Consider the following 26775-nt stretch of genomic DNA (forward strand, 5'->3'; position numbering starts at 1 on the left):
ATGCTATTTTCCACAGTAATTGAACCATATAACATTGTTACCAGCAACGTATGAGTTCCAATTTCTCCACATCCTCACCAGCACCTATTTTCCTTTTTCCAAATTATAGCCAACCTAGTTGGTGTGATGTAGTATCTCTTTGTGGTTTTGATTTGCATTTCCCTGATAAATAGTGATATGAAGCATCTTTTCATGTTCTAGTGGCCATTTACAGATCTTCTTTGGAGAAATATTTGGTCAAGTCCTTTGCCAATTTTAATTGGGTTGTTTATCTTTCTGTTGTTGAATGCTAAGAATTCTTAATATATCCTAAATACTAGATCCTTATCAGATATGTGATTTGAAAAATTTTCCTCCCTTTCTATGGGTTATCTTTTCATTGTGTTGAAAATATTCTTTGATGCACAGAAGTTTTAATTTTGAAGCAGTGCGATTTATTTATTTTTTGTTCTTTTTGCTTTTGGTGTCATACCTAATAATTCATTGCCAAATACAAGGTCATAAAAATTTACTTCTATATTTTCTTCTAAGAGATTGTGATGGTTAATTCTATGTGTCAACCTGGCTGGGCCACAGTGCCAGGATGTGTGGTAAAACATTATTTTGGATGTTTCTTTGTGAGTGTTTTTGGATGAAGTTACCATTTAAATTGATGGGCTTTAAGTAAAGAAGATTGCCCTCTATAATGTGAGTGGGCTCATGCTATGAGTTAAAAGAGAGTAGAACAAAACTCTAACCTCTTCTGAGTAGGAGGAAATTCTGCAACAGACATACATTGGACTTGAGCTGCAACATCGGCTCTTTCTTTAGTCTCCAGTCTGATGGCCTTTGGTGTTGAACTGAAACATTAGCTCTTCCCTGAGTATCCAGCTTGCCAGTCCGCCCTTCAAATTTTGGACTTGCTAGCCTCCATTATTACATGAGCCAATTTTTTAAAATAATTTTTTTCTGTATATGTACACATATTCTATTGGTTCTGTGTCTCTGGTAAATCCTGACTAATACAAAGGTATATACAGAGGTTTGGCTCTTAAATTTAGATTGTTGATTTGTTTTTAGTTAATTTTGTTATGTAGTGTGAGTTAAGGCTCCAGCTTCATTCTTTTTTTATGTGGATAGCAAGTTATCCCAGCACCATTGGTTGAAGAGACATTTCTTTTTTTTTTTTCATTTTAAGCATTTTTAATTTTCTTTTTAAAATTTTATTATTATTATACTTTAAGTTTTAGGGTACATGTGCACAATGTGCAGGTTAGTTACATATGTATACATGTGTCATGCTGATGTGCTGCACCCATTAACTCATTTAGCATTAGGTATATCTCCTAATGCTATCCCTACCCCCACCCCACAACAGTCTCCAGAGTGTGATGTTCCCCTTCCTGTGTCCATGTGTTCTCATTGTTCAATTCCCACCTACAAGTGAGAACATATGGTGTTTGGTTTTTGTCATTGTGATAGTTTACTGAGAATGATGATTTCCAATTTCATCCATGTCCCTACAAAGGACATGAACTCATCCTTTTTTATGGCTGCATAGTATTCCATGGTGTATATGTGCCACATTTTCTTAATCCAGTCTATCATTGTTGGACATTTGGGTTGGTTCCAAGTCTTTGCTATTGTGAATAGTGCTGCAATAAACATACGTGTGCATGTGTCTTTATAGCAGCATGATTTATAGCCCTTTGGGTATATACCCAGTAATGGGATGGCTGGGTCAAATGGTATTTCTAGTTCTAGATCCCTGAGGAATCGCCACACTGACTTCCACAATGGTTGAACTAGTTTATGGTCCCACCAACAGTGTAAAAGTTTTCCTATTTCTGCACATCCTCTCCAGCACCTGTTGTTTCCTGACTTTTTAATGATTGCCATTCTAACTGGTGTGAGATGATATCTCATTGTGGTTTTGATTTGCATTTCTCTGATGGCCAGTGATGGTGAGCATTTTTTCATGTGTTTTTTGGCTGCATAAATGTCTTCTTTTGAGAAGTGTCTGTTCATGTCCTTCACCCACTTTTTGATGGGGTTGTTTGTTTTTTTCTTGTAAATTTGTTTGAGTTCATTATAGATTCCCCATTGAATGACCTTGGAATCTTTGTCAAAAATCATTTGGCCATTGATATATGGGCATATTTCTGCACTCTCAATTCTATTCCATTAGTCTATGTGTCTATCCATATGCCAATATGATACTCTTTTGATCATTGTAGCTTTTTAGTAAGTCTGAAAATCAGAAGTATGGGTCCTCCAACTTTATTCTTTTTTTTTTTTCAATATTGTTTGGACTTGTTACAGCCACTGCAATTCCATATCAATTTGAGAACTGGCTTTTCCATTTCTGCAGAAAAACAAAAAGGATATTGGAATTTTAATAAGGATATCTTTGAATCTTTAGATCACTTTCGGTGGTATTGCCAACCTAACAATGTTAAGTCTTCCAATACATAAATACTGGATATATCTCCATTTATTTAGAATTTGTTAAATTCCTTTCAGCATTGTTTTGCAGTTTTTAGTTTACAAGTCTTTTATCAGCTTGGTGAAATTTATTCCTAGGTATTTTATTCTTTTGAATGCTATTATAAATTATTTTTTCCTTAATTTTATTTTAGAATTTCTCACTGTAAGTGTATAAAATACATCAAATTTTTGTGTGTTTATTGAATCCTACAACTTTATTGAATTTATTAGCTCTAATAACTTTTTTGTAGATTCTTCAAGATTTTCTATGTATAAGTTCATAACATCTGCAAACAAAATAGATTTATTTTTTCCTTTCCAATTTGAATGATGGTATTTTTCATTTGTGATTGATCTGGCTAGGTCTTCCAGGTACTTGAATTAAAATGGTAAAAATAGACATGCATGTATTGTTCCTAATTTTAGAGAGGAAGCTTTCAATCCTTCACGTTGACTGTGATGTTAGTTGTGAATTTCTCATAAAGGCCCTTTATCTGGTTGAGGAAGTTCCCTTATATTTCTAATTTGCTATGTGTTTTTATCATAAATAAGTAATGGATGTTGCCAAGAGTTTTTTCTCCATCAGTGGAGTTCATTATACGTGGCTTTTCCCATTAATTCTACTTACATACTGTATGACATTGATTTTTTTTATATTATGAGCCACCCTTGAATTTCTGGGATAAATCCCCTTGATCATGATGTATATAATTCCTTTAATATGATGCTGAATTTGTTAAAATTTTGTTGAGGATGTTTACAACTACATTTATAAAATATTTCTCTGTGGTTTTCATGTGATATTTTTGTCTGGCTTTGATATCAGGGTCATGCTGGCCAAATGGAATTAGTTAAGGAGTGTTTTCTTCTCTTCTAATTGTTGAAAAAATTTAGAAGGATGGATCATAATTCCTCTTTAAATGATTGGTAGCATTCATAAGTGAAGTGATATGGTCCTGGGTTTTTGTTGTTGTTGTTAGGAGGCTTTTAATTAATGATTTTATCTCTTTACTTGTTATAAGTCTGTTCCAATTCCCTATTTCTTCTTGAATTAATTGTATAGTTTGTGTGTTTATCTAAATTTTTTCATTTCATCTATGCTATCTAGTTTGTTGGGATACAATTGTTTTTATAATAGTATACTCTCATAATCATTTTTATTTCTGTAACTTTAGTAGTAAAGTCCCCACATTAAATTCTGGTTTTACTAACTTGAGTCTACTTAAGTTTTAGTTAATATAGCTCAAGATTTTTCAATTTATAGATTTTTTCAAATAACCAATTTTGATTTTATTAATTTTATCCATTGTTTTTCTGTTTGTTATTTCACTTATCTCTGCTGTAATCTTTATTTCCTTCCTTTCATTGTATTTGAGGTTTTTTCTTTTTTCTAGTACTTTATGGCATAAAGTAGTTTGAGTTTTGTTGATTAAGGTGATTTTTTAATTGAAAAATAAAATGATATGTTTATTGCATACAATATGATGTTTTGAAACATGTATATACCATAAAATGGCTAAATTGAGCTACTTAACATATATGTTACCTCATATACTTGTCATTTTTTGTGGGGTAAACACTTAAAATTATTTTAGCAATTTTCAGCAATACAATATATTGTTATTAACTATAGTCACCTTGTTGTACAATAAATATCTTGAACTTATTCTTCCTATCTAACTAAAATTTTGTTTCTTGTGATCAACATCTCCCACACTTGCCAACCCTGGAATGTCAAAGCCCATGCTGACTACAATTTTTTTATTTTAAATTTTTATGGTTACATAATATGCATACACATTTATAAAATATTTGTAATATTTTATATGTGCATACAATTTAATGATCAATTTAGTGTATTTAGGGTATCCATCACCTTGAATTTTTATCATTCTATGTTTTGGGAACATTTCAAGTCCTCTCTTCTACGTATTTTAAAGTATACAATCCATTGTTGTTAACTATAGTCACCCTACTCTGCTATTGAACATTTGAAATTATTCTTTCTATCTAACTGTATGTTTCTACCCATTAACCAACTTATCTTCATTCTTCTAACCCACACACACTTCTCAGATTCTAGTATCTATTTTTCCACTCCCTGCCTTTATTAGATCAACTTTTTCGGCTCCTACATATGAGTGAGAACATGCGATATTTGTCTTTTTGTGCCTGACCTATTTCACTTAACAAAATGACCTAGAGTACCATCCATATTGCTGCAAATGACATGATTTTATTTTTCCCATTGTGTAAATGTACCACTTTTTTATCCATTCATTGATAGGTACTTAGGTTGATTCCATATTTTGGATATTGTGAATAGTGATGCAATAAACATAAGAATGCACATATCTCTTCAATACACTGATTTCCTTTCTTTTGGATACTTGCCTGGTGGTGGGATTACTGACTCACACAGTAGTTCTTATAATATATATGTCATATGATAATTCTTTGTCCTTGATTTTTGACAGTTTGATTTTAATATGTCTTGGGGTAGTATTATTTGGGTTGGATCTGATTGGTGACGTCTTCCTTACCTGGGTATTTATGTCTTTCCCCCAGATTGGAGAGTTTTCTGCTATTACTTCTTTAAATAAGGCTTTTATCCCTTTGTCCTTCCCTACTCTCTTTGGAAGCCCAATGACCTGAAGCCTGGGCCTCTGTGGGCAGACCCGGCTCTAGAGTGATCTGAAACCTGAGTTGGTCCTGGAGCCTGGAACCACAAGCTGGCCTGGCAATGGGTGTGCCTAAAGCCTGTGTCTGCAGGGGTCATCTTGAAAGCTAGTTCCATGTGTTCTGGCTGATACATAGAGATTTGGGTTGCATCCTGGTGCTGGTAAGGGCCTAAAGCCTGTTGCCATAAGTGTCAGCCCAGCACATGAGTGTAGTCCAGAACCCAGGGATGCTTGGCCCAGCCTGGCCCTGAGGCAGACCTGGAGTCTGTCTATGGAGCCTGGCCTGGCAAGAGGTCAGGCTTAAAGCCTAGGGCTACTGGTGCTGGCCCAGTGCCTTGGCCAGTCCAGAGCCTAGGGGTACTGGGGTTACCTTGACCCTGGGGCAGCACAAAGTCCTAGCTCACCACACAGGTCTGGAGCCTAGGGCTACAGAATCCCACCGGTGCCATGGCAGGCCTAGAGAATAAGTCCTAGAGCACTGGCCTGGAGTGTAGGGCTGTAGGATCCTGCTAGGTGCTGAATTTTACTGGGATGTGCCTCTTAGTGGGGTCAAGGCAATGTTCTGTGCTCACTTCCTTCTCCTTTCTCCAAACAGACGGTATCTCTGTCCACAATGTGCCACCTGGAATTGGCGGTGGGCTGATGCAGATAATGTAAAACTGTCCTTCCTATTCTTTTCAATGCATCATTTCTTTTTATTTTTCTTTTTTAAAGGAGTCTTGCTCTGCTTGGGGATGGGGGGGATGCAGGTAATGCAAACTGTCCTTCCTATTCTTTTCAATGCATCATTTATTTTTCTATTTTTTTTTTTGTTTTGTTTTTTGAAATGGAGTCTCATTCTTCTTGCCCAGGCTGGAGTGCAATGATGCGATCTTGTCTCACTGCAATCTCCACCTCTTGGGTTCAAGCGATCCTCCTGCTCCAGCCTCCCAAGTAGCTAGGATTACAGGCACCAACAACGACACCCAGCTAATTTTTTTTATTTTTAGTAGAGACGAGGTTTTACCATGTTGGCCAGGCTTGTCTCTATTGAGGGATCTGGCCAGCAGCCCACAATGCAACGGGGCTCTCTCTCTGCTCCTAGGCAGATCGGCAGGATGAGAAATAATAGACACACAAAAGATAGTGAAAGCTGGGTCCAGGGGGGGTCACTGCCTTCTGGTCCCACGGTGCCAACAATGCACTGGATATACCAGCATTTATTATTAAGCTTAGTGAGGGCGGCGGTAGGCTAGTGAGGGATTTAGGGTCATTTGATTATGAGGTGAGATGGTCACATGGGGATGAAGTAATTCTTTAACATAACATTTCTATGTAGAAGTACAGTACATTTGTATGTAGAAGTACAGTATACAGAGGTAAGAATTTACAATATAGTGTGTGCATCAGTAATTTCTAACACAGCCTTAGAACAGAAACACAGTCTTTCCATAACCTATGATTAGCAAGATATTAATCAGCAGTAACAACTGCAACAAAATCTGGTTACAAATAATCCATGGAAACAGGACTTGAAGCTAGACAACTGGTTAGACCAGAAATTCTCAGAAGGGAGTATGCTTTAACCCTAAAGAGGCCTAGAAGAGCCGTGGCAAGATGAGGGTGTTTATAGCCCTATCTTATCCACATGGACAGGCGTCCCCCATACATCCGTTTATAGGCTTTCCACAAGGGTCGCATTCCATTCCCAGAGCTATGAACATCTGCTTTTCTGGGATAGGAATCTTGGTGATGTGAAACCTCCCTGGCTGCACGTCCATTCATAGGCTCTCTGCAGGGGGAAGCACATCACGCGCTGTTGGCTCGTTCTGGCAGTCCAACCTGGCATTGTCTTTACACAATCCTGCATGCAATTTTGTATTTACAATAATCAGGAGCATTTCATCTTTTATTCCATAGAAATAGTTTCAGGGGGTCTCCCTGCAGGTCTCGAACTCCTGACCTCAGGTGATCCACCTGCCTCGGCCTCCCAAAGTGCTGGGATTACAGGAATGAGCCACTGCACCCCACCCATCTTTTCTTATTTCTGTGCTATATCCAGATACTATAATATTTCACCTAGTTTCCTTAGCTCTTGTGAAGGAAGGTTTTTTTTGTGTGTGTGCATGGATGATTTTGCAAATTGATGTTTCTGATAGGGGATGAGTGCCAGTAAGTCCTATTCTACCATCTTGCTGGCACAAAGTTTTTATTTCTTTTTTAATGTAAGCATCTACAACTATGAATTTTCCTCTAAGGACTGCTTTCACTGTATCCCATAAGTTTTGTTATGTTGAGGTTTTATTGTCATTTATCTCAAAGTATTTGTAATTTCCCTTATGATTTCTTCATAGAACCATTGATTATTTGTGGGTGTGTTAACTTCTACATATTTGTGAATTTCGGAAATGTTCTTCCATTATTGATATCTAATTTCACTCCATTGTGGTTGGTGCTATTTCAATTTTTTAAATTCATTCAGATTTATTTTGTGACCTAACATATGATCTATCCAGAAGAATGTTACATGTGAAGTTGAGGAAAACACGTATTTCAGTATTGTTGAGGAGAATATCCTGTATGTGTCTGTTAGGTCTAGTTGGCTTACAGTGTTGTTCAAGTCCACTATTTTTTTAATTATCTTTTGTGTAGTTATTCTGTTCATTATTGAAATTGGAATATTAAAGTCTCCAAATATTTTAGAAGTGTGTTTTTCACCCTCTAGTTCAATCAGTTTGCTTTATATATTTTAGTCCTTGATTTTTTGTGTGCATATGTTTATAATTATTGTATCTTCTTGGTGGATTGATCAATCTATCTATCTATCCATCTATCTATCTATCTATGTATCTATCTATCTATCATCTATATACCTATATGTTTTCTTTATCTCTTTTAACAGCTTTTGATCTGTCTATTTTTTCAGATATTAATAAATCCATCCCAACTCTCACTTTGTTACTATTTATATGAAATATCATTTTGATCCTTTCACTTTTAATGTATTTGTGCCTTTGTATCTAAAATGAGTCCCTTAATTTATCACCATAAAAAATGGTAACTATAGGAGGTGATGGATATGCTTATTAGTTTGATATTGGTAATCATTTCACAATGTATACATATATTAAAACATCAAATAGTACACCTCTTTGAGACCCTGTACGTCTCTTTGAGACTCTGCTTTCCATTTTTCTGAGTGTATATCCAAAAGTGGAATTGCTGAATCATATGGCAAAATTTTTAAATATTTTTTAAAAATCACCATACTGTTTCTCATACTGGTCACACCATTTTACATTCCAGTCTACAGTGCACAAGGGTTCCAATTTCCTCACATCCTCACCACCACTTGTTTTCTGCCTTGTTTTCAAGATAGTGGCTGTATTATTCAGATAGATATATATATACATACATACATACATAGATGATTGGTTCTGTTTCTCTGGAGAACCCTGAATTTTTTATGTATATATAATTAAAATTTTATAAATTTTATATAATTTATATAATTATATAAACATACAATTATATAATATATAAAATTATATATATAATCATATGTATTATATATATGATTTATTTGTTTATTTATATATGATTTATTATAAGATCATAAGGAATTGGCTCATGCAATTATGGATGGCCAGTCCTAAGATCTACAGGCTGCATTAGCAATCTGCAGACCCAGAAGAGCCAATGGTTTAGTTCCAGTCTAAAGGCTGGCAGACTCTAGACCCAGGAATATCCAGTGTTTTACTTCAATTCTGAAGAAGGAATAAAGTAATTGTCTCAGTTAGAAGTCCATCAGGCAGAAAGAATTCTCTCTTGCTCAGTGAAGAGTCAGCCTTTTTGTTCTATTTGGGTCTTCAATTAAGTGTATGAGCTTCCTCACATTATTGAGGGCAATCTTTTTTACTCAGTCTACTGGTTGAAATGCTACCTTAATCTAAAAACACCTTCACAGAAACACAGAATACTGTTTGACCAAATATCTGGTTTCCCTGTTGCCCAGTTAAGTTGACATATATGGTTAAATATCGTAGTAGCCATCCTAATGGGTGTGATGTGGTATCCATTTACTTTTAAAGTAATTATTCATAAGGAAGGAATTCTGCCTATTTTTTATTGGTTTTCTATATGTCTTATATCTTTCTTGTTCCTTCATTTCCTCCATTACTGCCTCTCTTTGTATTTCATTGTAGAGTCCCATTTAATTCCTTTCTCATTTACTTTAGTGCATATTTTAGTTATTTTCTTAACAATTGCCTTGGGGGTTACAATTATTTTTGTAGTATATATGTGTAATATATAACAAATAAATATACAATTAGATTTATAACAATATATTTTGAATTAATACCACCTTTGCTTTAATTGCATACAAAAACTCTGCTCCTATAGAGCTCCATTCCTCTTTTTGCAATGTTGTCATAAAAAGTTTTTACCATTTTTACATTGGTTATCCGTTAACATACATTGATAATTATTATTTTATGCATTTCTTTTTAAAACCATTGTGTGCCTGAAATCCCAGCACTTAGGGAGGCTGAAGCAGGGGATCACTTGAGCTCAGGAGTTTGAGAAAAGCCTGAGTAACATAGTAACACCCCATCTCTACAATTTTTTAAAAATAGCTGGGCATGATGATTTATGTCCATAGCCCCAGCTACTTGTGAAGCTGAGGTAGGAGCATCTCTTGATGGGTGACAGAGTAAGGTTCTGTCTCAAAAAAATGTCATATGTGAGAAAAAGCAGCATTACAAACCAATAATGCAAATAATACTATATAATACAATAATACTTTTATGTTTACCTAGGTAGCTATAATAATTTTACCCAATTTCTTGTATGTCTTAAAGTTATTATCCAGTACCCTCTCATTTCAGCCAGAGGGACTCTCTTCAGCATTTCTTTTAGGGTGAGTGTACTACTGACAGATTCCATCAGCTTTTGTTTATCTGGGATGTTTCAATTTCTTCATTTTTTGAAGGAAATTTTGCTATAAATGAAATTCTTGGTTCACATGTTTTTGTTTTTCCTTCAGCACTGTAATTATGCTATCACATTTCCTTCTGTCCTCCATGGTTTTTCATGATATTGGTTGTTAATCTTATTGAGGATCCCTTTTATGTGGTAAGTTACTTCTCTCTTGCTGCTTTTAAGATTCAGTGTGTCAGCCAGGTATGGGAGCTCATGCCTGTAATCCCAGCACTTTGGGAGGCTGAAGTAGATGAATCATTTGAGCCCAGGAATTTGAGACCAGCCTGAGCAACATAGGGCGACCCTGTCTCTACCAAAAAAAAAAATACAAAAATTAACTGGGCATGGCTGTGCATGCCTGTAGTCCCAGCTATTTGGGAGGCTGAAGTAGGAGGATAATCTGAGCCCAGAAAGGTGGAGGCTGCAGTTTGCCATGATTGCAGCTACTGCACTCCAGCCTGTGCAAGAGAGTGATACTCTGTCTCAAAAAAAATTCAATGTGTCTTGGTGTATGTATATTAGTTTGCTGCAAAAGTAATTGTGGTTTTAGGTCATGAACTTTAAATTACTACAACCAGGCCCAAATGCATCTTTACTAATGAAAATAGGAACCATTACAATCAACATATTTTTGCCAATGAGAAATAAGTTTGTTTATTCCTGTAAAAATCCATGCTTCAGTATTTGATCAACTCTTGGGAAGAATTTTCTGCATCCTACAAGTTATGGAAGCATTTTTCCCTGCCAAAAGCTGTCGAGATGCTTGAAGAAGTGGCAGTCAGTTGGCAAGAGGTCAGGTGAATATGGTGGATGAGGCAGAATTTTGTAGACTAATTTGTTCGACTTTTGAAAAGTTAGTTGTGTGACATGTGGTCAGGTGTTGTTGTGGAGAAATATTGGACCCTTTCTGTTGACCAATGCCAGCTGCAGGTGTTGCAGTTTTTGGTGCATCTCATTGAATTGCTGAGCATACTTCTCACACGTAATAGTTTTGCCAGAATTCAAGAAGCTATAGTAAATCAGACAGGCAGCATACCACCAAAGAGTGACCGTGACTTTTTTTGTGCAAGTTTGGCTTTGGGAAGTGGTTTGAAGCTTCTTCTCAGTCCAACCACTGAGCTGGTCATCACTGGTTGCTGTATAAAATCCACTTTTTGTCACACATCACAATCCGATTGAGAAATGGTTCATTGTTGTTGCATAGAATAAGACAAGACGACACTTTAAAAGGACCATTTTTTGGATTTTCGCTCAGCTCATAAGGCACCTATTTACTGAGCTTTTTCACTATTCCTGTTTTCATCAAATGCCAAACCGCTGTAGAATGACCAACGTTGAGTTCTTCAACAACTCGTCATGCAGTTGTAAGAGGATCAGCTTCGATAATTTTTCTCAGTTGGTCATTGTCAACTTCTGATGGACAGCCACTGAGCTCCTCAACTTCAGGTTTCTTGTCTCCTTGTAAAACTTCTTGAACCACCACTGTACTGTACAGTTGTTAGACGTTCCTGGGCCAAATCCATTGATGATTTTTCAAGTTGTCTCTGCTGCTTTACGACCCCATTTTGAATCCAAATAATTAAATTACTCAAATTTGGTTTTTGTCTAACATCATTTACATTGTCTAAAATAAACATAAAATAAACAGCAAGTAATAAATTATTGGCAAAAAATAAAATGAGAAAAGCCCATTAAAATGATGTATAACATACCACATTTATTTAAGAATGTATTCAAATATCAAACAGCAAATTCCAACAATGCAAAAACCGCAATTACATTTGCACCAACCTAATATTTTTTAATGTATCCTTCTTGGGATTCATTGAGCTTCTTGGAATAGTAGATTCATCACTACTTTTTAAATTTGGGAAGGCTTTGGTCATTATTTCTTAAAACATTTTTGCTTTCCCTTTCTCTTTCTCCTCTCCTGAAACTTCCATTGTGTGCTTTTTGGCACACTTGATGATGTTCCACTGGTCTTTTAAACTCTGTTCATTTTTCTTCATTCTTTTTTCTTTCTGCTCCTCAAATTGGATAATTTTCAGTAGTCCTATCTTCAAATATGCTGTTTCTTTCTTTTGCATGGTCAGGTCTGCTGCTGAGCTTGTCTACTGATTTTTTGTCTTTTCACTTATTGTACTTTTCAATTTCAGAACTTCAGTTCCTTTTTATAATTTCTATTTCTTTATTGATATTCTACATTTATTGAGACATCATTTTCCTGGTTTCTTTTAGCTCTTTGTGCGTATATAAAACAGGAGAGTTACTAATCTTTGTGGAATAAATCCAGTGTGTCTGGACCTCCTCAGGGACATTTTAGTTAAAATGTTCTGTGCATAGGTTATACTTTCTTATTTTCATGACTCATAATTTTTGATAGCATCTCAACATTTTAAAGATTATAATATGGGAATTCTGAAAATTAGATATGTCCCTGCTTCGGGGTTTGTTTTTCTTGCTCACTGTGGGCTGTGGTTGTTTGTTTAGTGGCTTTTCTAAACTATTTTTGTAGTGTCCATGTGGTCTCTGAAGTCTCTTTCCTTATACCTTGTGGTCAGCTAGTGTTTTTCTTTTTTTTATTTTCTTAACAGAGATTTCCTTGAGTGTATGTATTTAAAGAAAAAGAAAGAAAAAAAATCTCTCACGTATTGCAGATTCGCTTTGTGTTGGGGCACTCCTTCAACACTTAACCAAGCTGTTTGCAACTCTACCTTATCCTTACCCTGCTGTTTGTGCTGAGCCTAGAGATCAGCCAAAGGTGGAAAGCTTAGAGTCTTCTTAAGCTGTATTGTGAGCTGTGTCCTGCCTTTGGTATATTTGTATCTTTCTAGCTTTCCAAATATATGTGCATGCTTTAGAATGCCTTAACTTCCCACAGAAACTCTCCCCAGCTTTTCCTTACAAGCTTTCAACATGTCTATTGATTATTTTGACAAAGGTAAGAACTCTATCCTTTGATAAAATTTGAGTTGGGCTTCTCTGAGTCCTCTTTCTGACTATTCCCTAACCTTAGGCTCTGTACTTAGTCTAGTGTCTTTGCCTGCTTAGTTCACAGCAAAAATACTGCTGGATCAGTTTAGCAAAAATTCCTCACCCTTGATATGTTATCAAATTCATTATCCCTCATTCCCAATAACTTATCACTCTGACGTGGCTTCAGTAATAATCTTGTCAACTCAATATGGCCAAAATCTTCCTTACCCATAATGTTTCTTCTTAATAATATTCCATCCACTGATCTCCATCCTGCTTCTTGGCTATAAATCTCCACTTGTTGTATTTGGATTTGAGTTCAATCTCTCTCATCTACTACAATACCCCATTTTTGTGGTCCTCTTGAATAAAATATGCTTTACTGTGTTCAACAGGTATCATGAATTATTTTTCTTTAACAATGTCCACTAATGTTTTGCCAGAGGTGGCAGCAGGTTGTTCATTTGGCTTGCAATGCTTTTTAGAAATGTTCTCTGCATAGCCACGTTTCCTTATTGAGAAGGTTACTACATAGATGATGCAGAGATGAGTCCCTTGCATCAGTCCTTCAGCTAGCCCCCAGGCGGGTCAAGACAGAAAAACAGAATTATTTTAGAATAAGATCTATTCTGTTTTCTCAGGAACCAGGAACAAGAAATTATACTGGAAATGCATATTGCTCACTCCAAGACTATAGCTTATCTGGGGAGGCATTAGGGTAAGGGCAATTAAAAATGCTGTAAAGCTTTTATCCCATTTATAAGTTGTCTTTTTCTTGATCCAGTTTTTCTTGGTTGTTGTTAAACTTTGATTATTTTCCTGAGCTCTTAAAAAGTTGGCTTTGACAGATTCTTGCTCAATTATTTTGCATTTCTTTTGAGGGATGGACCCTTGGTGTTACTTGTTTCACTATGTTTTCTTGTCCTGTAATATATGAACTCATTCTTATTCCTTCAGTGGCAGCTAGAGTAGCCATCTCTGAACCTGTTTTGCATCAGCCAACTCAGAAAACCATGAGAACCTTAGCCTGAGGCCTGGCTAGCATATTGAATGAGATGTCTCTAGTGTCAGCCCAATCCAAAATTATGTTTTGCTTCTCTTGGTAGAGAATCTTTAAAATCCATAGTCACATATTCCTTCTGGATATCTTCTAATATTCATTAGGAAATCCTGTAATTGTTTTCTGGAGTTCTATTTATTTTTACTCTGATTATTTATATTATTCTTTAGATATTTAGTATATATTTTTTGAGACAGAGTTTCACTCTTGTTGCCCAGGATGGAGTGCAATGGCACAATCTCAGCTCACTGCAACCTCTCCCTCCCTGGTTCAAGTGATTCACCTGCCTCAGCCTCCTGAGTAGCTGGGATTATAGGCGCATGCCACCACGCCCAGCTAATTTTGTATTTTTAGTAGAGATGGGGTTTCTCCATGTTGGTCAAACTGGTCTCGAACTCCTGATGTCAGGTGATCCACCTGCTTTGGCAATCCCAAAGTGCTGGGATTACAGGCATGAGCCACCACTTCTGGCCTTAGGTATTTAGTTTTAATTATATTTATATGTAAGCCAGAATTACAGTGGAGAACATCAGGGAGAGCTAATACTTTATACTGTGGTAAGAAAAAAAATACTACCAAGAGTCATACTACTCCAGGTACTCCCATGTACCTTTCTTTATAATTGTCAGGTTACAAAAATCAGACATCAACTTTATCTTACTTAAGCAAAAAAAATATAAATGTACAGAATTGGAGGTACCACAGAAGCTCTGGGACCTTAGCAATAGGAGTTGCTGAGTCTTCCTTCTAATACATTGCCATGAAAGTGATTCAGTTACCTACTTTTGGCCTCCCTATGTCTGAGTTCAAAATTACAACCTTACAAGAGACAGAATCTGATTGGCCCTTGTTTGAATTAGGTGTATCTATCTCTGAATCCATCAGGTATGCCTGGGAAGAATGGGAACAGGATTATATAATACTTTTTAAGTGGTAAAGACTATTTTATAGATAATAAATGTAGAGACATAGAGGTATTATAAATAATAATACATGTAAGATATATATTAAGAGGTTTGTTGTAAGGAATTGGCTTACATGACTGTGAGATCTGGCTAGTCAAATAAAACATCCAGAGCGCAGATAATCAGGAAGGATAGACGAAACCTGTTGGGCACAATGTGAGGCTATTATCCACAGGCAAAATTTATTTTTCTTCAGGGAATCTTCCACTCTTTTCTTAGGGCCTTCTAACTAAGTAGATAAGAGTCTTCCAGATTACCTAGGATAGCCTCCTTTACTTAAAGTTAACTGACTGTGGACTTTAATCACATATACAAAACACCTTTACAGCAGCAATTGGTGTTTGATTGAATAATGGGGAACTGCAGCCCAGCCAACTTGACATATAAAAAATGACCATCACATTGAGTAAGGCCCATCTCTGTGGATTTGGGCTCAGCTTTGTAGATTAGAACAAAGTAGTAACCATAAAAGGAGACATTGCAGAGATCTGGGGAGATTAACGTATGGGTATCACTGAAATGTCTACTCAACAGCTCTAAGTTTCACATGTGTAGCAGTATAATGTATTAAGTCATTAATTTTCAGGGTTTTCCTTCTCGATGTATTTTGTCCTACTCCATTTCAAAAACAGAGTCAAATTCTTTGTGCTGTATTGCCTCAGAGGAGTTAGAACCAAAACCAGTGGATAACTACAGAATATTTCATTTTCCAATTAAAAAAAAACTTCTCACCCAAGGTTAATACAGAAACCACAGAGCCACCAGATTTCAAGTGTAATAAGCAGACATAGATAATGCTTATTTTATTGATAACCCCATTATTTAAGCACCACATAAGGCTTTTATATACTTTTTCAGTATTTATTTATTTATTTTCTATAACCTCATATTAGAAGTGAAATTTTCACATTATTCTATGACTTATGGGAGGCCCTCAAAAATGACTTGAATTTTATTGCATTTGGAATTTTTATTTCTTTAATTTTTAAATTTTATTTTAGATTCAGGGGTTACTTCTGCAGGTTTGTCACCTGGGTATATTGCAGAATGCTGAGGTTTGGGGTGCAGATGATCCCATCACCCCGTTACTCAGCATAGTGCCCAGTAGACAGTTTTTCAACCCTGGCTTTCCCTCTCAGTCTCCCTTCTAGTAGTCCCAGTTTCTACTGTTGCCATTAATATGTTCATGAGTACCCAATATTTACTACCACTTATAATAGAGATCATGCAGTATTTGGTTTTCTCTTCGTGAGTTTATTTACTTAAAAAAAAAGCCACCAACTCCATGCACCTTGCTCTAAAGGACATGATTTTATTCCTTTTAGGACTGAGTAGCACTACATGGTGCATATATAGATATATATGTGAGATGTGTGTGTGTATATATATATATAGATCTCTATATCTATATATATGGATCTCTATATCTATATATATAGATATATAGATATAGATCTCTCTCTCTCTCTCTCTCTCTCTCTCTCTATATATATATATATATATATATATATATATATATATATACACATATTTCACATTTCTTTTTCCAATCCACCATTGATGGGCACCTAGGTTGATTCCATGTTTCTGCTGTTGTGACTAGTGCTGCAATGAACATACAAATGCATGTGTCTTTCTTTGGGACAATGGTTTGTTTTCTTTTGGATATACACAAAGTAATGGGATTGTTGGGTCAAATGGCAGTTCAGTTTTAAGTTCCTTGATAAATCTCCAAACTGCTTTCCACAGTGGATGAACTGATTTACATTTCCACCAAAAGAGTATAAGCATTACCTTTTCTCTGCAGTCTCACCAACATCTGTTGTTTCTTCATTTTTTAAATAATAATCATCCTGACTGGTGTGAAATGATATCTAATTGTGATTTTGATTTGCATTTCTCTGATGATTAATGATACAGAGCATTTTGTCATATGTTTATTGGCCAATTGTATGTCATTATTATTTATTATTATTATTATTATTATTATTGGTTCATCAATTGTTTAAGCATCTTATGGATTCTGGATATTACCCCTTTGCCTTAAGCATAGTTTGTGAATATTTTTTCCATTCTGTAGGTTGTCTGTTTATTCTTTTGATAGTTTCTTTTGCTGTACAAAATCTCTTTAGCTTAATCAGGTCTCACTTGTCAATTTTGTTTTTGTTGCAATTGCATTTGAGGATTTAGTCATAAATTCTCTCCCAAGGCTGATGTCCAGAATGGTGTTTCCTAAGTTTTCTTCTAGGATTCTTATAGTTTGAGGTCACACATTTTAATCTTTAAACCATCTTGAGTTAGTTTTTGTATATGGTTAAAGTTAATGATCTGGTTTCATTGTTCTGCATGTGGCTATCTAGCACCATTTATTGAATAATGGGTCCTTTCATGATTACCTATATTGATCGACTTTGTCAAAGATCACATGAGTGGAAATGGTTGGCTTTATTTCTAGGTTCTGTATTCTGTTCCATTGGTCTATATGACTGTTTTTGTACCAGTACCATACTGGTTTGGTTACTATAGCCTTATAGTAGAGTTTGAAGTCAGGTAATATGATGCCTCCAGCTTTGTTCCTTTTGCTTAGGATTGCTTTGGCTATTCAGGCTATTTATTGGTTCCATATGAATTTTAAAATACTTTTTCTAGTTCTGTGAAGAATTTTAATGGTATTTTTGTAGGAATAACATTAATTCCGTACATTGCTTTGGGCAGTATGGCTAGTTCAATGATATTGATTCTTCCAATCCATGAGTATAGAATATTTTTCCATTTGTTTGTGTAATCTATGATTTCTTTTAGCAGTGTTTCTTAGTTCTCCTTGTAGAGATGTTTTACTTCCTTGGTAACATGTATTTTTATGTATTTTACTTTTTTGTAGGACTGTAAATGGGATTGCATTCTGGATTTGGTTCTCAGCATGTACATTATGGGTGTATGCAAATGTTACTGATTTTTATGCCTAGATTTTGTTTCCTGAAACTTTGATGAAGTTATTTATAAGTTCTAGGTGCTTTTGGGCAGAGACTACGGGCTTTTCTAGGTATGGAATTACATTGTTCATGAAAAACAGTATTTTTATTCTTCTTTTCCTATTCAGATACATTTTATTTCTTTCTCTTGCCTGACTGCTCTGGTAGGACTTCCGGTACTATGCTAAATAGGAGTATTGAGAGTGGGAACCCTTGTCTTGTTCCAGTTGTCAAAGTAAGGCTTCCAATTTTTGCCGATTCAGTACAATGTTGGCTGTGGGTTTGTCATAAGTGATGCTTATTATTTTGAGGTATGTTCCTTTCATTCCTAGTTTGTTGAGGGTTTTTCCCATGAATGGATGTTGGATTTTATCAAAAGCTTTTTCCAAGCCTATTGAGATGATCATATAGTCTTTGTTTTTAATTCTGTTTATATGATGAATCCCATTTATTGATTTGTGTATTTTGAAACAATTTCCTTGTATCACTGCAATAAAGCCTACTTGAACATGGTGAATTAACTTTTTGATGTGCTCCTGGATATGGTTTGCTAATATTTTGTTGAGGATTTTTGTGTCTATGTTCATCAGGAATAGTGGCCTAGTTTTTTTCCCCCTTTTATGTTTTTGCCAGGTATTGGTATTAGAGTAATGCTGGCTTTATAGAATAAGTCAAGAAGGAGTCCCTCCTCCTTGATTTTTATGTATAGCTTAGGTAGACTTGGTCCCATCTCTCCTTTGTATGTCTGGCAGAATTCAACTCTGAAATCACCTGGTCTGGAGTTTTTCATTGTTGTTGTTGTTGTTTGGTTGGTTGGTATGTTTTTTATTTTTATTTTTACTGATTCAATTTTGGAACTCGATATTAGTCTGTTCAGGATGTCAATTTCTTCCTGATTCAATATTGGGAAACTTTGTTACCAGGAATTTATCAATTTCCTTTACATGTTCTAGTTTAGATACATAGAGGTGCCCATCATAGTTTCTAAGAATTTTCAGTATTTCTCTGGGATCAGTGGTAATATCACCTTTGTGATTTCTGATTGTGCTTATTTGGCTCTTTTCTTTCTCTGTCAATCTAGCTAGTAGTCTATTCATCTTGTTTATTCTTTCAAAAAACCAATTTTTGGTTTTGTTGACCCTTTGTATGGATTTTTGGGACTCAATTTTGTTCAGTTCTGCTCTGATTTTAGTTATTTCTTTGTTTCTACCTGCTTTGGGGTTAATTTGTTATTGTTTTTGTAGTTCTTCTAAGTTTTATGTTAGATTGGTAATTTGAGAAGCCTTTCTGAGGTAGGCATTTATCGCTATACACTTTTCTCTTAACACTGCTTTTGTTGTATCCCACAGATTTTGGAATGTTGTGTCTCCGTTTTCATTAATTTCAAAGAATGTTCTAATTTCTACCTTAAATTTGTTGTTTTCCCAAAAGTCATTCAGGAGCAAGTTTTTAAAATTTCCATGTAATTCTGTAGTTTCCAAGATCCCCTTGATATTGATTTCTATTTTTATTCTACTGTGGTCTTAGAGTATGGTTGGTTTCATTTTGTTTTTTTTTTTTTTTTTTTCAATTAAATTGAGACCTACTTTGTTGCTGAGCATGTGGTTGATTTTGGAGTATGTTCAGTGTGTGAATGACATGAATATATATTTTGTGGTTGATGGGTGGATTATTCTGCAGATATCTATTAGGTCCAAGTGGCCAAGTGTTGAATTTAACTAAAGAATTTATTTGTTAATTTTCTTCCTCAATGATCTCCCTAATGCTGTTAATGGGGGTGTTAAAGTCCCTCACTATTATTGTGTGGCTACCTAAGTCTTTGGTAGGTCTGGAAGTACTTGGTTTATAAAACTGTGTGCTCCAAAGTTGGGTAGAGATATATTAAAATAGATAAAACTTCTTAGAGAATTGAACCTGTTACCATTATTTAATGCCCTTCTTTGTTCTTTTTTACTGTTGTTGGTTTAAAGCCTGTTTTATCTCATATAAGAATAACACTCCTGTGCTTATTTGTTTTCTGTTTGGCTGGTAAATCCTTCTCCAACCTTTTACTTTGAGCCTATGGTTGTTGGTAAATGAGATGGGTCTCCTGAAGACAGCAGATAATTGGGTCACTTTTTAATGCAGTTTGCCACTCTGCGCCATTTACATGGGACATTTAGACTGTTTACATTCAAGGTTAATATTCATATGTGATGCTTTGATTTTATCATAAAGTGGTTAGCTAGTTCCTTTGTAGTTTCTATTGTATAGTTGCTTTATAGAATCTGTGAGCTATGTACTTAAATATGGTTTTGTCATAGCAGGTATTGCTCTTTTATTTCCATGTTTAGAACTCCCTTAAGAATCTCCTGTATGGCTGGTTTAGTGTAATAAATTATTTTAGCAGTAGCTTGTCTGGAAAATATTTTATTTCTCCTTCACTTATGAAGCTTAGTTTGGCAGGTTATAAAAATTCCTGGTTTATTTTTTTCTAATAATACTAAAAGTAGGCCCCCAAATGTCTTCTGGCTTGTAAGGTTTCTGCTGAGAAGTTCACTGTTAGCCTGATGATGTTCCCTTTGTATGTGATCTGACCTTTTTCTCTAGCTGCCTTTAAGATTTTTCTTTTCTTTAGCATTGATCTTGGACAGTCTGGTGACTATATAGCTTGGTGATGTTCATTTTGTGTAGTATCTTGCAGGCGTTCTCCACCAGACGTTTTGTATCTGGATATCTATCTCTCTAGCAAGATTAAGAAATTTTTCTTAAATTATTTCCTCAAACATGTTTTCCAGGTTGTTTACTTTTTCTCTATCACTCTCAGGAGAGCCAATAATTTGTATCTTTGGTCATTTTACATAATCACATGTTTCTCAAAAGCTTTGTTCATTTTTAAAATTTCTTTTTTCAAGAATGAGATTATGCCCTTTGCAGGAACATGGATGGAGCCCGGGTAATTATTCTTAACAAACAAATGCAGAAACATGAAACCAAATACCACATGTTCTCACTTATAAGTGAAAGCTACATGATGAGAATGCATGGACACATAGAGGAAAACAACACACACTGTGGCCTATCAAAGGGTGGAATCAGGAAAAAATCTAATGAGTACTAAACTTAATATCTGGATGATGAAATAATCTGTACAACAAACACATATGACACAAATTTACCTATATAACAAACCCACACAACATGTACCCCTGAACTTAAAATAAAAGTTAAATTTAAATGATAAAAGGAAAGCCTTTTTTTCTTTATTTCCATCTGACTTGTTTAGTCCAGAAGACTGTTCTTCAAACTGTATTATTCTTTCTTCTGCTTCATTCAGGCAAATGATAAAGCTTTCCAATGTATTTTTGAAATTTCCTAAATGAGTGCTTCAATTCCAGAAGCACTGGTTTACTTCTTTTAAAGATATTGATCTCTGCTTTATTTCCTGTATTGCTTTAGAAGTTTTTTTGTGTGTTGATTTTCAACTATGTCTAGAATCTCTTTGAGTTTCCTTGCCATCTGTATTAGCACATTTTTGCACTGCCATAAAGAAATACCCGAGATTGGGTAATTTATAAAGAAAAGAGGTTTAACTAGCCCATAATTCTGCAGGCTGTACATAAAGGATGGCTAGGGAGGCCTCAGAAACATAAAATCATTGCAGAAGGTAAGGGAAAAGCAGGCACATCTTCACATGGCCAGCCAGGAGAAACAGAAGGGAGCAAGGTACTACACATATTTAAAACAACCAAATATTATGAGAACTCACTCACTGTTAGGAGAACAGCACTCAGGGTGATAGTGTTAAACCATTAGAAACCAACGCCATTGTATTAGTCCATTTTCACATTGCTATAAAGAGATACAAAAGACTGGGTGTATTAGTCCATTCTGATGCTGCTAATAAAGACATACCTGAAACTCAGTAATATATATAAAAAAGAGATCTAATTGACTCACAGTTCAGCATGGCTGGAGAGCCCTCAGGAAACTTAAAATCATAAGGAAAGGGGAAACAAACACATCCTTTTTCACATGGCGGCAGCAAAAGAATTGCTAAGCAAAAGGGGAAAAAGCCTTTTATAAAACCATCAGATCTCGTGAGAACTCACTCACTATCATGAGAACAGCATGAGGGTGGCCACCCCAATGATTAAATTATGTCCCACCGGGTCCCCTTTATGACATGTGGGGATTATCAGGACTACAATTTAGGATGAAACTGGGTTGGGGACACAAAGCTTAACCGTATAATTCTGCTCCTTGCCCCTCTCAATCTCATGTCTTCAATTTCAAAACCAATCATGCCTTCCCAATAGTCCCCCAAAGTCTTAACTCATTTCAGCATTAACTCAAAAATCTAAATCCAAAGTCTCATCTGAGACAAGACAAGACCCTTTCATCTAGGAGCCTGTAAAATCAAAAGCAAGTTAGTTACTTCCAAGACACAATGGAGGTACAGGCATTGAATAAATGCTCCTATTTCAAAAGAAAGAAATTTGCCAGAACAAAGGAGCTACAGTCCCCATGCAAGTCGGAAATCCAGTGAGGCAGTCATTAAATCTTAAAGCTCTGAAATCATCTCCTTTGACTCCATGTCTCACACCTAGGGCACGCCGATGCAAGAAGTGAAGTGCCACAGTCTTAAGGAGCTCCACCCCTGTGGCTTTGCAGGGTACAGCTCCCATCCCAGCTGCTTTAACAGCCTGTCATTATCTGTGGCTTTTACACGTGCATGGTGAAAGCTGTCAGTGAATCTACCATTCTGAGGTATGGAGGACAGTGGCCCTCTTCTCACAGCTCCACTAGGCAGTGCCCCAGTGGAGACTCTGTGTGGGGGCTCCAAACTTTTCTTCCATATTGCCCTAGCAGAGGTTCTTCATGAGGGCTCCACTCCTGCAGCAAACTTCTGTACAGACATTCAGGCATTCCTTTGCATCCTCTGAAATCTATGCAGAGTTCCCCAAACATCAATTCTTGATTTCTGTGCAACCACAGGACCAACATCACATGTAAGCTGCCAAGGCTTGGGGCTTGAACCCTCTGAAGCAAAGGCCTGAGCTGTACATTGGCCGTTATAGACATGGCTGGAGCCGAAGCAACTGGTACACAGGGCACCAGGTCATGAGGTTACATAGAGAAGGGGCGCCCTGGGCCCAGTCTACAAAATGATTTTTTTCCTCCTAGACCTCTAGGCCTGTGATTGGAGAGGCTGCTCTGAAGGTCTCTGACATACCCTAGAGATATTTTCCTCATTGTCTTGGTGATTAACATTCAGCTTCTTGTTAATTATGCATATTTCTGCAACAGACTTGAATTTATTTCAAAAAAGTGGGTTTTTTCTTGTCTATTGTATCATCAGGTTGCAAATTTTTCAAACTTTTATGCTCTGCTTCCACTTGAATGCTTTGCTGCTTAGATATTTCTTCCACCAGATACCCTAAATCATCTTCCTCAAGTTCAAAGTTCCACAGATCTCTAGGGCAGGGGAAAAATGCTGCCAGTCTCTCTGCTAAAAGATAACAAGAGTCACCTTTGCTCCAGTTTCCAACAAGTTTCTCATCTCCATCTGCGACTACCTCAGCCTGGACTTTATTGTCCATATCACTATCAGCATTTTGGTTAAAGCTATTCAACAAGTCTCTAATAAGTTCCAAACTTTCCCACATCTTCCTGTCTTCTGAGCCCTCTAATTCTCCAGGAAGTTCCAAACTTTCCCACCTTTTCCTCTCTTCTTGTGAGCCCTTCAAACAGTTCCAACCTTTGCCTGTTACCCAGTTCCAAAGTCACTTCCACATTTTGGGTGTCCTTATAGCAGCGCCCCACTGTCTGTGGTAACAATTTACTGTATTAGTCCATTCTGATTCTGCTAATAAAACGCATACCCGAGAATGGTTAATTTATAAAGAAAAGAGGTGTAATGGACTCAAGTTCAGCATAGCTTGGGAGGCCTCAGGAAACTTATAATCATGGAGGAAGGGAAAACAAACACGTCCTTCTTCACTTGGCAGCAGCAAAAACAAGTGCCAAGCAAAGGGAGAAAGCCCCTTATAAAACCATCAGCTTTCATGAAAACTCACTCACTGTCATGATAACCACATGAGGGTAACAACCCATGATGATTAAATTACTTCCCACCAGCCCCACCTCATGACATGTGGGTAATATGGGAACTACAATTCAAAATGAGATTTCGGGGGGACACAGCCAAACCATATCACTGGGTAATTTATTTTAGAAAAGGTTTAATTGCTTCACAGTTCTGAATGGCTGGGAAGGCCTCAGGAAACTTACAACCATGGCAGAAGGAGAAGAGGTATGTATTGCATGGCAAAAGGTGAGAGAGAGTATGTGTGAATAGATGGAACTGTCAACTCTTATAAAACCATCAGATCTTGTGAGAACTCACTCACTATCATGAGAACAACATGAGGGAAATTACCTCTATGATCCAATCACCTTCCACCATGCCTCACCAACAACAGTGAGGATTACAGTTGAAAATGAGATTCAGGTAGAGACACACATCCAAACCATATCATTCCACCCTGGGCCCCTCCAAAATCTCATGTTCTTCTCACATTGAAAAATACAATCATGAGTTAAATAGAAGATGGCTGAGTGGAATCAGCTCTGGTATACAGCTCCCAGCGTGAGCGACGCAGAGGACGAATGATTTCTGCATTTCCATCTGAGGTACCCGGTTCATCTCACTGGGGAGTGCCAGACAGTGGGCGCAGGTCAGTGGGTGCAGACACCATGCTCGAGCCGAAGCAGGGTGAGGCATTGCCTCACTCGGGAAGCCCAAGGGGTCAGGGAGTTCCCTTTCCTAGTCAAAGAAAGGGGTGACAGATGGCACCTGGAAAATCGGATCACTCCCACCCGAATACTGCGCTTTTCCGACGAGCTTAAAGAACAGCGCACCAGGAGATTGTGTCCCCCACCTGGCTTGGAGGGTCCTGCGCCCACGGAGTCTCGCTGATTGCTAGCACAGCAGTCTGAGATCAGGCTGCAAGGCCGCAGCGAGGCTGGGGGAGGGGCGCCCGCCATTGCCCAGGCTTGCTTAGGTAAACAAAGCAGCACAGACGCTTGAACAGGGTGGAGCCCACCACAGCTCAAGGAGGCCTGCCTGCCTCTGTAGGCTCCGGCTGTGGGGCAGGGCACAGACAAACAAAAAGACAGCAGTAACCTCTGCAGACTTAAATGTCCCTGTCTGACAGCTTTGAAGAGAGCAGTGGTTCTCCCAGCACGCAGCTGGAGATCTGAGAATGGGCAGACAGCCTCCTCAAGTGGGTCCCTGACCCCTGACACCTGAGCAGCCTAACTGGGAGGCACCCCCCAGAAGGGGCAGACTGACAACTCACACGGCACAGTACTCCAACAGACCTGCAACTGAGGGTCCTGTCTGTTAGAAGGAAAACTAACAAACAGAAAGGACATCCACACCAAAAAACCATCAGTGCATCACCATCATCAAAAACCAAAAGTAGATAAAACCACAAAGATAGGGAAAGTCTAAAAAACAGAGCGCCTCTCCCCCTCCAAAGGAACGCAGTTCCTCACCAGCAACGGAACAAAGCTGGACGGAGAATAACTTTGACGAGCTGAGAGAAGAAGGCTTCAGACGATCAAATTACTCCGAGCTACAGGAGGAAATTCAAACCAAAGGCAAAGAAGTTGAAAACTTTGAAAAAAGTTTAGAAGAATGTATAACTAGAATAACCAAAACAGAGGAGTGCTTAAAGGAGCTGATGGAGCTGAAAACCAAGGCTCTAGCACTACGTGAAGAATGCAGAAGCCGCAGGAGCCAATGCAATCAACTGGAAGAAAGGGTATCAGTGATGGAAGATGAAGTGAATGAAATGAAGCGAGAAGGGAAGTTTAGAGAAAAAAGAATAAAAAGAAACGAGCAAAGCCTCCAAGAAATATGGGACTATGTGAAAAGACCAAATCTACGTCTGATTGGTGTATCTGAAAGTGACGGGGAGAATGGAACCAAGTTGGAAAACACTCTGCAGGATATTATCCAGGAGAACTTCCCCAATCTAGGAAGGCAGGCCAACATTCAGATTCAGGAAATACAGAGAACACCACAAAGATACTCCTTGAGAAGAGCAACTCCAAGACACATAATTGTCAGATTTACCAAAGTTGAAATGAAGGAAAAAATGTTAAGGGCAGGCAGAGAGAAAGGTTGGGTTACGCACAAAGGGAAGCCCATGAGACTAACAGTGGATCTCTCGGCAGAAACTCTAAAAGCCAGAAGAGAGTGGGGGCCAATATTCAACATCCTTAAAGAAAAGAATTTTCAACCCAGAATTTCATATCCAGCCAAACTAAGCTTCATAAGTGAAGGAGAAATAAAATACTTTACAGACAAGCAAATGCTGAGAGATTTTGTCACCACCAGGCCTGCCCTAAAAGAGCTCCTGAAGGAAGTGCTAACCGTGGAAAGGAACAACCAATACCAGCCGCTGCAAAATCATGCCAAAATGTAAAGACCATCGAGACTAGGAATAAACTGCATCAACTAATTAGCAAAATAACCAGCTAACATCATAATGACAGCATCAAATTCGCACATAACAATATTAACTTTAAATGTAAATGGAGTAAATGCTCCAATTAAAAGACACAGACTGGCAAATTAGATAAAGAGTCAAGACCCATCAGTATGCTGTATTCAGGAAACCCATCTCACGTGCAGAGACACA

At 37.1% G+C, this 26775-nt stretch overlaps 1 long non-coding RNA gene across 7 annotated transcripts in view; it reads right to left on the bottom strand.

Moving 5' to 3' along the window:
• MIR325HG (MIR325 host gene) overlaps positions 1–26775 on the bottom strand; it is a 356735-nt gene that overhangs the window by 158182 nt on the left and 171778 nt on the right. Inside the window, exon 2 of one of the 7 annotated variants that reach the window (NR_110403.2) lies at positions 21831–21913. The exons of the other annotated variants lie outside the window; for them this stretch is intronic. This is a non-coding gene — a long non-coding RNA (MIR325 host gene). The remainder of the gene's footprint in view (positions 1–21830; positions 21914–26775) is intronic. 7 annotated transcript variants of the gene reach the window in all.

The sequence above is a fragment of the Homo sapiens genome, chromosome X (assembly GCF_000001405.40).
Source record: "Homo sapiens chromosome X, GRCh38.p14 Primary Assembly".
NCBI lineage: Eukaryota > Metazoa > Chordata > Mammalia > Primates > Hominidae > Homo > Homo sapiens.